Source organism: Homo sapiens, chromosome 12 (genome assembly GCF_000001405.40).
Source record: "Homo sapiens chromosome 12, GRCh38.p14 Primary Assembly".
Taxonomy (NCBI): domain Eukaryota; kingdom Metazoa; phylum Chordata; class Mammalia; order Primates; family Hominidae; genus Homo; species Homo sapiens.
The window spans coordinates 101,697,455-101,709,703 of NC_000012.12; the positions used below are offsets into that span (position 1 = coordinate 101,697,455).

The 12,249-nt window shown below is 42.6% G+C and overlaps 1 protein-coding gene across 4 annotated transcripts in view, besides 2 other annotated features; it reads left to right on the forward strand.

Annotated features, from left to right (window-relative positions):
- Positions 130–469: a silencer, noted in NCBI's record as "silent region_4769". NCBI's record gives its function as "represses an Ori minimal core promoter by ATAC-STARR-seq in GM12878 lymphoblastoid cells {active_cell/tissue: GM12878}" and the evidence as "EXISTENCE:reporter gene assay evidence [ECO:0000049][PMID:35858748]".
- Positions 186–12,249, forward strand: part of CHPT1 (choline phosphotransferase 1) — a 31,435-nt gene continuing 19,371 nt past the window's right edge. For all 4 annotated transcript variants that reach the window (XR_245946.3, XR_001748818.2, NM_020244.3 and 1 more), the window contains exon 1: positions 186–680. Coding sequence is in view for 2 of the 4 variants with exons in the window: in NM_020244.3 (NP_064629.2) it covers positions 408–680 (273 nt within the window). In the remaining 2 variants the exon portion in view is untranslated. The remainder of the gene's footprint in view (positions 681–12,249) is intronic.
- Positions 730–919: a silencer, noted in NCBI's record as "silent region_4770". NCBI's record gives its function as "represses an Ori minimal core promoter by ATAC-STARR-seq in GM12878 lymphoblastoid cells {active_cell/tissue: GM12878}" and the evidence as "EXISTENCE:reporter gene assay evidence [ECO:0000049][PMID:35858748]".

Below are 12,249 nucleotides of genomic sequence, written 5' to 3' on the forward strand. Positions count from 1 at the left end.
GTGGGTTAAGACATCAGACCTCAGGCGCAGTGCAGCCGGCCCCTGGGGAGTCAAGGACCTTGATCGCCGATAACAAGTTGCCGTTGGCGGGCGCCGAGGGTGACCCGCGAGCGCGGCACCCGCCTCCCCGCCCCTAGCAGGACCCCCTCCGCCCCGCCCCCAGCCGGACCCCTCCCCGAGGCCCCGCCCCACCCGCGAGCCGCAGCCGCGGCCCCACAGCTTCTGGGGCTGGGGCCCCGGCAGCCGGGCAGGCCGGCCTGACCTCGACCTCCGCCGTGCGGGCCCGACCGGTGAGTCCAGCCCGGCAGTCGCAGGACCCGGCCGCCAGCCTCTCCCTCCACCTCTCCCTGCCCCCAGCGCCAGGCGCGGGCTGCGCTCGGTGGCGGCGGCGGGGCCCTCAGGCGGCCATGGCGGCAGGCGCCGGGGCCGGGTCCGCGCCGCGCTGGCTGAGGGCGCTGAGCGAGCCGCTGAGCGCGGCGCAGCTGCGGCGACTGGAGGAGCACCGCTACAGCGCGGCGGGCGTCTCGCTGCTCGAGCCGCCGCTGCAGCTCTACTGGACCTGGCTGCTCCAGTGGATCCCGCTCTGGATGGCCCCCAACTCCATCACCCTGCTGGGGCTCGCCGTCAACGTGGTCACCACGCTCGTGCTCATCTCCTACTGTCCCACGGCCACCGAAGAGGTAGGGCTGGCCGATCGCCCGAGCCGGGCCCCAGATGCGCTGCGGGCGGGTCGCTGGAGGCGCCGGGGGAAGGGCGGACCCACGCGCGGCTGAGCCTCTCCCGGGCCCCGGAGGGGCGGACTGGCCACTGCCCCGGGCGGTGTCCGCCCTGGGCCGCCTGGAGACTGTCACGCCACTATCCCAATCCCGTGACCATCCCAAGCCTCCCCTGGGCAGCGGAGGGGCTGTTAAGGTCACTGCCCCAGGTCCTATGTCCGCGCAGATCCTCCCCACGGCCGCGGACGGGCCGGAGGGCGCCTGCCCAGCCGCTATCCCATGCGGCGCCAACCTGTGAGACGGACCCGCGGTCGGGTGCTTTGCACACTGGGGACTGAACACCCCCATCTCCGTCCTGCCTGGCACAGGGACTTGTGCCAAGCCCGAGACGCCCTTTGAATACTTTCGTAACCGTTCGTTTCTGGAAGGTTGAGCTAGTGATCTTGAAATGACCGGTAGCACTGATCAAAGATGAGTTAAGAGGTAACTTCCTCTTTGCTTCATCGACTTTTTCAAGAAAAACAAACTGGAATGTTATCAAGGCAATAATTTTTTTGTCATCACAACCTAGGGATTAAAAAAACCCCAACATTTTATTAGCAATAATTACATTTGACCTTTGTACAAAATAAGGAGTAAATATAGGCTTTGGATAGCTGTTCATCAGAAGCACCCTTTGGGCTGAGTGTGGAGGGATAGGGGGCAGAGTGGAGTTCACTCCCATCTATAGTTTATACTACGTGGGATAAATATTACATTGCACATTCTGTGACATTACTTTCTATTCTCTGCTCCAAATAGTGAAGTCCCTTTATAATCATTTGAGTGTAGGCCTTGTGGAGGACTCATGGAGGTTGAGGTTGGATTAACAGAAATACAGTGGAAATATTTCATGCCCTCCATGCATGCATCCATTTTGTTGTTGTTTTTGAGACAGGGGTTTACTCTGTCACCCAGGCTGGAGTGCCGTGCCGTGGCTCGATCTCGGCTCACTGCAACCTCCGCCTTCAGGGTTCAAGCGATTCTTCTGCCTCAGCCTTCCAAGTAGCTGGGATTACAGGCGCGTGCCACCACGGCCGACTCACTTTTGTGTTTTTAGTAGATACAAGGTTTCACCATGTTGGCCAGGCTCATGCATCCTTTAAAAACAAAAATTTGATCGAGCCTACATTTTAAAATATCTTGTCAATGGATTGGTATGCTTATTATGTATTTCTTTTCTTTTTTTTTTTTTTGAGACAGAGTCTCGCTCTGTCACCCAGGCTGGAGGGCAATGTGGTGATCTCGGCTCACTGCAACCTCTGCCTCCTGGGTTCAAGCGATTCCCTTGCCTCAGCCTCCTGAATAGCTGGGACTACACGTGCCTGCCACCACGCCCGGCTAATTTTTGTATTTTTAGTAGAGACGGGGTTTCACCATATTGGCCAGGCTGGTCTCGAACTCCTGACCTCAAGTGATCCGCCTGCCTCGGCCTCCCAAAGTGCTGGTATTTACAGGAGTGAGCCACTGCGCCAGGCTTATTATATATTTCTTAATAGACATTCCCATTGTCATTTGCCATTGCTATTCATTTACATATTACATATGAAAAAGTAAGCTGCTTTAGTTTTTGGCTGTTTTGCTGCCTGTTTCTAGAATTTACCAGAGGGAGTGTGTTAGAATGAAAGGATAGCTGGGTTGGAAGTGGAGGTCTTGGTTTCTAACTGGCTCTTCCACCACAGACCTGCTGGGTCTGTGTTCCCACAGATACAATAGAAAATAATGCCTGCCAAAACAACTTGACAAGGATGCAGTGAGGACCAAATGATATATATGCAGATAAATGTAAAAGATTGCGATGTGCCTAACAAATTAAAAATATCACTCAACACATTAAAAATATTACTGTTATCAGACAACATCCTGAAAACACATAATAAAATTTAGTTTTGATTGGGTCCAGATTTAGCTAACAGCATTTGAATGTTTCTGATATTGGCCAGTTAAGTTGTGGACTCTTCAATGTTATTATTAATTTAAGAAGCATTTGTTGAACACTTAGAAAGAGCAGGGCTTACCAAAAAAGTCAAGAGCTTCTGCCTAGGGAAGTAAAGGGAGGCCTGATGGAAGAGGTACGTTTATGATTAATTAGTTTTTAGGATCAGCCTCATGTGAAAAAAAAAAAAAAAAGGGTGGAGGGTGGGGATTGGAGGCATTTAAAAATAAAGTGCAAAATCAAATGGCCCAAGAAGGGTAAATGAGAGTTAAAAACAAGAGTTTCTGAAATGTATGTCACTAGAACCTTCATATGCTTCTGAGTGACTGATGCAGGGAGGGGAAACGCCATTACAGGATCCACATTGCTTGTTTGGTGAAAGCCCAGCAACAGTGTGAAGAGTGTAGCAGTTTCTGGCTATTTTCTCTTAAGTTCATAGAACTAGCAAATGACTGGATCAGGTAGGATTCAGATCTAAGTTGGTATGACTTCAAAAATAAAAAGATCCTATGTTTTACATAATACAAATATGTAAAGTGCTTTCACATCCATGGTTGCATTTGTGTCTTGTTATCAGCCAAAGAGGTTAGCAAGTTTTCCGCTTCCTACAATGGCCCTCCTACCACCTCAGTATTTCTTCTATCCATCTATCCTGAAGTAACAGTAGTATATGTTTTCATAAGAGGAAATTGAAGCCCAGAGATGTCAAGTGACTTTCAACTGGCTTGGGACTTGTTTTCTGATTCTCAGACTTAAGAATTCTTAGTGTTTTTTTCAGACTTGACAGATTGCTTCCAGAAAGAGTCAGCAAAAACACATAAGGTTTTTCGATTTAGATGCTTGGGCTTATCTACTCATATAGGCTTTAATACTGAGTGCATGAATAATAACATTTGATACGTTTTTAAGCATGATGCTAATTTCTAGAACATGACTGGGGATAAAGGGAAACTAATAGAAAAAAGTTGTGATTTATATTTAGCTTCTGCAAACTGCTTTTCAAGCCATCATTTCCAATAAGGAACTTTGTACTCCAGCCAAATTGAACTTCTTACTATAACAAGGATTTCTCTCCTTCTTATCCCTCTCTTTTCCCCTTCCTCTTCCTTTCTTCTGTACCAGTTATCCAACTATGTACCCATCTTTCAATACCCAATTCTAACACTATATCCTTATGAAAGTTATCTTCCTTTTCCTAAGTCAAATCAACCACTCTGAATTCCCATGATAATGACAATAACTAACTTTTACTGGATTTTTACTGTGTATCAGGGATGATTTTAAGTCACTTTTATTCTTTCATTGACTCCTCTCAACAACCTTATGAATAAGGTACTATTAGTATCATCATTTTATAGATGAGGAAACTGAAGGAAAATTAACCTCTTCTAGAGTGACATACCTTTAAGTGGGGGCCAGGATTCCAAGCCAGAAGCTATGCTTCCTTTGTAGGGCTTTGTAGCTCTCCTGTGGATCTTTACCGTTTTATTTTGGTTGTCTGTGTCCTTATTGAGCAGGACAACTTACCAGATTTTAAGTTCAGACAGCAATTGCTCGTTCATTTGTATAATCTCTATAGCACAGTGCTTTACATCAAACAGATGCTTATAATTTTGCATCAAACAGATGCAATTATTTAGAAAACAAACATTTGTTTGTTTTCTAAATTATTGGCTGCAGGAATGAAATAACACAATGTGATGTCAAGAGATGATGTTTTTCAACCCTTATTCAGTTTTAGCTGTTCTTGGGTTAAATACCTAGCAATTGTTTGGCCTTGGTAGTTTTAAGTAGAGTAAGCAAGTGTTAGGGCAAATGGAGAAAACAAGAACTTTGTCTCCTCACTTTGATGAAGCAGTTCTATCTGAACATCACCCTAAGTAGGTAGTCCCTGGCCCCCATTCCTTGGCTACCTAATCTTAAAATAGAATCACAGATTCTTAGAGTTTGGAAGGACCTTAGAGATTATTTAATGTAACTCCTACATTTATATATGTGATAACCCAGTGATTTGAATCTAGTTCTTCTAACTCCAGCCTAGTAGCAGTCTCTCCTACTAACTCCATGCACTTGTGTTTGACTGGTATAAACTGTTACTCCATTCTCTATTACATATCTGATTAAATGTTTCTGCCCTGTCTTCGTGATCTGTGCATATAAATCCATGTCAGTGTCTTTATTAAGAATATGTTTATGGCAGGGACAAGTGCCTAGCTTAAGGTCAGGTCAAAGGGCATTAATTAATGCATTTCTTGTGTTTATGATGATAAAGAGTTGAACTGAAAAGTAAGTATACCTGAGCATGCCAGAAACACCTTAAGAAATGGTTTATTCTCTGTTTAAATAACTTATTTAAATAACTCATATTTTAAACACAGAATAAACCATTTCTTAAGGTTATCTTTGTACTACATATTGCCTTTGTATTACATATTATAGAGTTATTTTGGGGGGAATAATAGAAAGAAAAGGAAATAACCTTTAGATTCCTACTCAGACTTTTTTTTATAGGTTTGATTTCTTTGAGATCTAGTATATTTCCTTTTTAAGCACTCTTTTACTCCCACTTTTTTTAAACCAGCTCAGTAACTTTTCAAGCATCATTTATTAAGGCAGGACTCTTGTAAGGGCGTGACCTCTCTCATTAAAACAAAATGTGAACTCCAGATTTCCAGGAGATAGAAGCAGGGAGGGACTTAGGGTGAGGCAAGCCAGGACTCAAAATTTAAGGAGGCCTTTGCAGGACTGTGAGAATGAATGTCTCCTTAACTTCTGCAGCCATGGTGCCTCCCTGCCTCACCCTTAGTCCCCGGCCATCTAGAAGGAGACTCTTCAGATAATGTGGAGGTAGCTTCCCTTGATTCCTATGGCTTCACTATACTTAATTCCTAACGAATAAAACTGTTTCTCCTTTCAAATTCTGGTTCAAGTGTGGATAAAACGTGGCATCGTGGTATTTAGAAGAAGCTTTGAATTTTCCTCCTGGTGCATTTGATTGGGGTAGAAGGCTACAACCAGACCACTTGGGTTTTGCGAAGTTGAAGAACAGAACAGAAGCAACCCAGTACAGTTGATGTGGATGATAGATTTGGCCTCAGGGGAATTCTCTTCACACCCCTCTCTCTTTTTGTTCCCCTTAGCACAGTGACAGGCTGGCATTTTCAACAAGAACCCTAATAAGTATTAAAGAAGAAAGAAAACCAAAATGATTCACACTGAATATAAAAATAAAGGCCAGCTTTCAAAGTACAGATTTATCAGGTCATGAGAAAACCCCATTGGCCCTGAAGTGCTGGTTTAACTGCATTTATGTGCGATGTCTGTCTGGTTTCCTTTGCCGCAGCTTATAACCTGCCTAATTTCCTAAAAATGGATGTGCTCTTCTCAAATGCTGGTTCCTAAACTGAGCCAAGACCAAAGGTCTGGGTCGAAAGCAGTGAGCCCCTAGGGCCTTCCTCATTGGCTTGGCAGAGAGTGGTTTTACCTTTTCTGACCACCAAGGCTCCTCTGGAGCCTCCCCAGGCCTCAGGTGGGAACCCTCCCTCCGTAAACAAAGAAGCACCCTCCCCATCACAGGCTCCCAGTAAACAATGTCATAAGCACATCTTAGGCACTTATTGGGTTAGAGCAGTTGCAGGAATGGAGCAATCAGTCATTTCTACTTCTTATGTCTTCCAGAGTCAGGTTAGCAGTCTATTAGAAACTCCATAAATTCTCTTTTAAAAATCGTAGAATCTCTTGTGATCCCTGGAATAATGAAATGAAAAAAAAAATCTTAAGAGTCACCTGTCTGGGTAGAAAGTCTACCTTTAACAGCATACTCGCATTACATGTTTTTCACATATGCACAATATGTCTTCTAATGTCCTTTCTTCCTATGTCTTAGAAATGCAGTTTCTATTTTTATGAAGAAAGAAGTCAATGTTTGGATAATTGAAATCTTCTTGTTACCAGCTGACCTAATGGTTATTGGTTATCTAATTCCCTTCTGCATAGATGTCAATTCATCCAAGGCCATTTCAAGCAAAGAGGTTTTTTTGTTTTGTTTTTGTTTTTTTTCAGTATAAAAATTTACGTAATGAACATTGTATAGTTCTAGTATTTCCTAGTTTGGGAAGATTTTTTCTTTTATATATTATCTATACTTGCTTTTATTTACTATTTTTCTTTATGTCAACTTTAAATCAACTCTTTTAAAAACTTAGACTCTTACTCTGACTTAATATTTATAAAATCATAGATATGATATGCTATTTTTCTTTTTTTTTTTTTTGAGATGGAGTTTCGCTCTTGTTGCCCAGGCTGGAGTGCAGTGGTGCAACCTTGGCTCACTGCTACCTCCGCCTCCTGGGTTCAAGTGATTCTCCTGCCTCAGCCTCCCAAGCAGCTGGGATTACAGGTGTGCACCACCATGCCTGGCTAATTTTGTGTTTTTAGTAGAGATGGGGTTTCACTATGTTGGTCAGGCTGGGCTCGAACTCCTGACCTCGGGTGATCCACCCACCTCAGCCTCCCAAAGTGCTGGGATTACAGGCATGAGCCACCGCACCTGGCCCTGTTTTTCAAAATACATTAAATTTTTTCAAAATATATTAAAATAAACATAAACATTCAATTGAAAAGTTTACCTACAGATCACCTAAAATTATCTGATGGAGTATCAGTAATAACAGTAACAGTAACAAATACTGAGCTCCTTCCATATGCCCAGCACTTTTATAAACATTTTACATGTGATAAGTCATTTAATTTTCACAATGAGAGAGGAGCAATGATTATTACCATTTTCAAATGGAGAGACTAAGGCACTGTAAAGTGATTCATCCAACTCATTTAGCCAGTAAGTAGCAGAGCAAATGTGGGTGCAAGTAGAGTCTAGAGTCTATGCCCCTAACCACTCTGCAAGAAAAACCTGGGGCATGTATTCTTCCCATTGCTTTTTTGTTTTGTTTGTTTGTTTGTTTGTTTTTGAGATAGGGTCTCACTTGGCTCACTGCAACCTTGGCCTACTGTCCTCAAGTGATCCTCCCCCCTCAGCCTCCCAAGCAGCTGGGATTACAGGTGTGCACCACCATGCCTGGCTAATTTTGTGTTTTTAGTAGAGATGGGGTTTCACTATGTTGGTCAGGCTGGGCTCGAACTCCTGACCTCGGGTGATCCACCCACCTCAGCCTCCCAAAGTGCTGGGATTACAGGCATGAGCCACCGCACCTGGCCCTGTTTTTCAAAATACATTAAATTTTTTCAAAATATATTAAAATAAACATAAACATTCAATTGAAAAGTTTACCTACAGATCACCTAAAATTATCTGATGGAGTATCAGTAATAACAGTAACAGTAACAAATACTGAGCTCCTTCCATATGCCCAGCACTTTTATAAACATTTTACATGTGATAAGTCATTTAATTTTCACAATGAGAGAGGAGCAATGATTATTACCATTTTCAAATGGAGAGACTAAGGCACTGTAAAGTGATTCATCCAACTCATTTAGCCAGTAAGTAGCAGAGCAAATGTGGGTGCAAGTAGAGTCTAGAGTCTATGCCCCTAACCACTCTGCAAGAAAAACCTGGGGCATGTATTCTTCCCATTGCTTTTTTGTTTTGTTTGTTTGTTTGTTTGTTTTTGAGATAGGGTCTCACTTGGCTCACTGCAACCTTGGCCTACTGTCCTCAAGTGATCCTCCCCCCTCAGCCTCCCAAGTAGCTGGGATTACAGGCATGCACCCCCACGCCCGGCTAATTTTTGTATTTTTAGTAGAGACGGGGTTTCACTATGTTGGCCAGGCTGGTCTTGAACTCCTGGCCTCAAGTGATCTGCCCGCCTCAGCCTTCCAAAGTGGTGAGCTACCACACCCAGCCTGATTTTCATCATCTACGTATTTAGCTCCTACAGAAGATTTTTAAAAATAGAATACGTGGCTGGGTGCGGTGACTCATGCCTGTAATCCCAGGACTTTGGGAGGCCTAGGTGGGTGGATCTCAAGGTCAGGAGTTTGAGACCAGCCTGACCAACATGGTGAAACCCCATCTCTACTAAAAATACAAAAACTAGCCAGGTGTGGTGGTGCACATCTGTAATCCCAGCTACTCAGGAGGCTGAGGCAGGAGAATCACTTGAACCTGGGAGGCGGAGGTTGCAGTGAGCGAAGATTACACCACTGCACTCCAGCCTGGGCGACAGAGTGAGACTCTGTCTCAAGAAAAAAAAAAAAGAAAGAAAAATAGAATACGTGTCTCATGCCCATGAGAGGATCACATTCTAATATGAAAGATAGGGCCACATACAAATGACATCACATCGATCTAGAGCTGAAACATACCTCAGAAACTATCTAGTCTACCATTTTCATTTAGAGAAGACCTAAGAACATGTTCCAGAAAAATCAGTATTTTGAGGCTGTAAGTGAAATTTGTCCAGTGAGTTCAGTGGATCTCAGCATGCAGCTTTCACCTGATGCCAGTGCCATGCTCTTGGGCTTCCCAGGCTCCAGAACCATGAGCCAAATAAGTCTTTTCTTTATAAATTACCCAGTGTCTAGTATTCTGTTATAGCAACAGAAAATGGAATTACACAACTCTTATTTGAAAAAATGGGAGGCTATAATTATGAAACAATTAATGACTTATGTGGAATTACTTCCCTTGGTTAAATTAGATCTTTACTTTCATTAACTAAAGATGATAATTTCAAAGCTTTGCTTTTTAAATTTGTTCTGCTACCTGTGAAATCATTTAAAATCAAGGAAACTAGACAACAGAAACAGTGCATTGTTATAAAGTCATGAACATCATTGTCATGTAGTTCCTTATATTTGTATACCTGAGGTACTAACCATCTAATGAGCATATTTTGTACAACAGAAGGCCTATATATTTGCAAAGACTGCTTTAACCCTGAAAAATATTTGTAGAAGGTGTATTTTTAAGGGAGTAGGTAGGAATGGAATGACTGGAGATAGGTAGGTTTGTGTCCTTTGATTTCTCCCTAGATGAAGTTGTAGGTGGAGTAAGAGGTGTATCAGGCAGTCCTTGAAGGAGGGGGCATATGAGTGCTTTGCTGAATTGGGTGAGAAGAGTGTTTAGAAAGGAAAAAGCCATGAGACAGTATTAAGTCATAAATAAACAAGAGGACTTTGTGGGTGGAATGGAGCTGGAGTATGAAGGTGGGTGATTGAGAGTTATGCTGCAAAGAGACTCTTATCAGTGAGTAAAGAGCTTGTGGTAAGATTAGTTTAGGAGTGGCCAGAAGAGCTGTTCCTAAACTCATGTGCTCCTTGGTGTGCTCCTAAACTAAGCCCATGAAGGCTCTCCCCTAAATCTCCTGTAATACAAATAGAAAATTATTTTTGCACAAACACCTTTATTGTCACACTTGGTCCATTAATTGAGGGATATTGGTTAAACATATACTGTGTGCCAGAGTAATGTTCTAGAGTACTGGGAATGTAGGGGTGAGTGAGAAAGACACAATCCTTGCCCTCTCTGTGCTTTAATCAGTTCAGCCTTAGAAAATGAAATATTTAAGGTGAGAAGGCAAGGAAAAGGGAAGACTTAATTTTGGAGTTTTGGATTGGGTATGTGGGGGGCAGGTGGCTTTGATTAGGGAGACCAAGATGAAGGTACTAGTGCTGTTTCTCAGTGAGTTACAGGGTTGTGGGCAAGGAAGAAGAGAAGTAGATGCCTCCTCTCTCACCTCAATCTTTCTCCTTCAGTCACTGCGTAGTTCCGTCTCTTAATATGGAAACGTTAAGATTCTTATACTTATGGGCCTTTTTCCAGAGAATGCAGAGAGCATACAGGATTTTGTCAGAGGTGCAGTTCACCTCTGGATGTTTTCTGGAAGAGTAAATCATGTGTGAAAATTGAATAAATTAATGGACTATCAGACTTGCTGTTTGCTTTTTTCCAGTATAAGCTTTGTGTCTTTGAGACTATGGTAGGAGTGTATGACTTCCTGGCTAGGATGTCAGTTTAATTTGTTTGTGCTTCTATACGATAGTTACAGTGTTGTCAGAAAGCATTGAGGAAGTTTTAAAATCATAATTTAGTTTTATCTAATCCTGTAATGAATAGAATCCTATGAATAATTCAAATAACTAGAAAAGCTAAAATTTCCCAAATATGTATTTTATACAGCTCTTTTTCAGTGTATAATTGAAAAACAATTTAAATTTTAATCAGTGGGTTTTTTTTTAATGACAAGGGGTTATGATTGATTTTTAGTAGTTATTTTGTTTTCTAGAATAAATTTATATGAAATTTAATATATCAAGTAAAATTCATTGTTAGGGAAGCTATTACTTAAATTATGATATAGCCACATAATTGAATACCATGCAGTCATTAAAAAGAATGATGTGGATCTCTGTGTTTGACCTGGAAAGAGTTCTGTAACATTGTTAAATTTGGATACAGTAGATATTATGAAAACTATATAATTAAAAACGTATTTATTCATTTATTTAATTATTTAGAGACAGGGTCTCACTCTGTTGCCCCAGCTGGAGTGCAGTGGCTCACTTCAACCTCTGCCTCCTGGGTTCAAGCAATTCTCGTGCCTCAGCCTCCTGAGTAGCTGGGATTACAGGAGTATGCCACCACAGCTGGCTAATTTTTGGATTTTTAATAGAGACAGATTTTTACCATGCTGGCCAGGCTTGTCTCAAACTACTGACCTCAAGTGATCAGCCCACCTTGGCTTCCCAAAGTGCTGGGATTACAGGTGTGAACCACCACATCCAGCCATAAAAACTTTAAATGTTAGAATGGAATATTACCTAGAGAAGTTCTACTACTTGGAATAGATCTCTTCTAACAAACATTGCTTATGGCTTTATAATTCATAATCCAAGGGTGGCTTTTTCATCCTTACATTTAACTTTTTTGAAAATAAGTTAACATGAAAACTAGAATTGAGTTAGGGAGGCTCTGTAGCTCCCGTTTCCATGAAGAGTCTCTTCTGGCTAGGCACGGTGGCACTCGCCTATAATCCCAGCATTTTGGGAGGCTGAGGCAGAAGGATAGTTTGAGGCCAGGAGTTTGAGACCAGCCTGGGTAGCATAGCCAGATGCTGTCTCTACAAAAAATTTAAAAAATTAACCAGGCATGGTGGTGCACACCTGTAGTGTCCTAGCTACTGAGGAGGCTGAGGTGGGAGGATTGCATGAACCCAGGAGTCTGAGGTTACAACATGTGCCTCTGCACTCCAGCCTGGGCAACAGAGTGAGACCTGTGTCAAAAAAAAAAAAAAAAAAAAAAGTCTAATCTATAATTGTACCATTTTTGGAAAGGGATACCTGGAAGGAAGTTGTTCTGCTGTGCCTGGCCAAATAAATCCCAGCCTGTTTGCAGGGATAACAAGTTAGAAAAAAAGTGAGAAAATGCAACCTATTTAATCGCTTTCACCTAGGAATGGAGGTGGTGACCAAAGGAAAAAGAGAAGATAGGTCTGGCTCCTGAGGCCTTGGGAAGACTGGGAAAACTTGGAAGGATTTGGGAAGAATTGGAAAAGGAGTGAACCAAATATTGGCAGATCATTGTGCCTTTCTGGG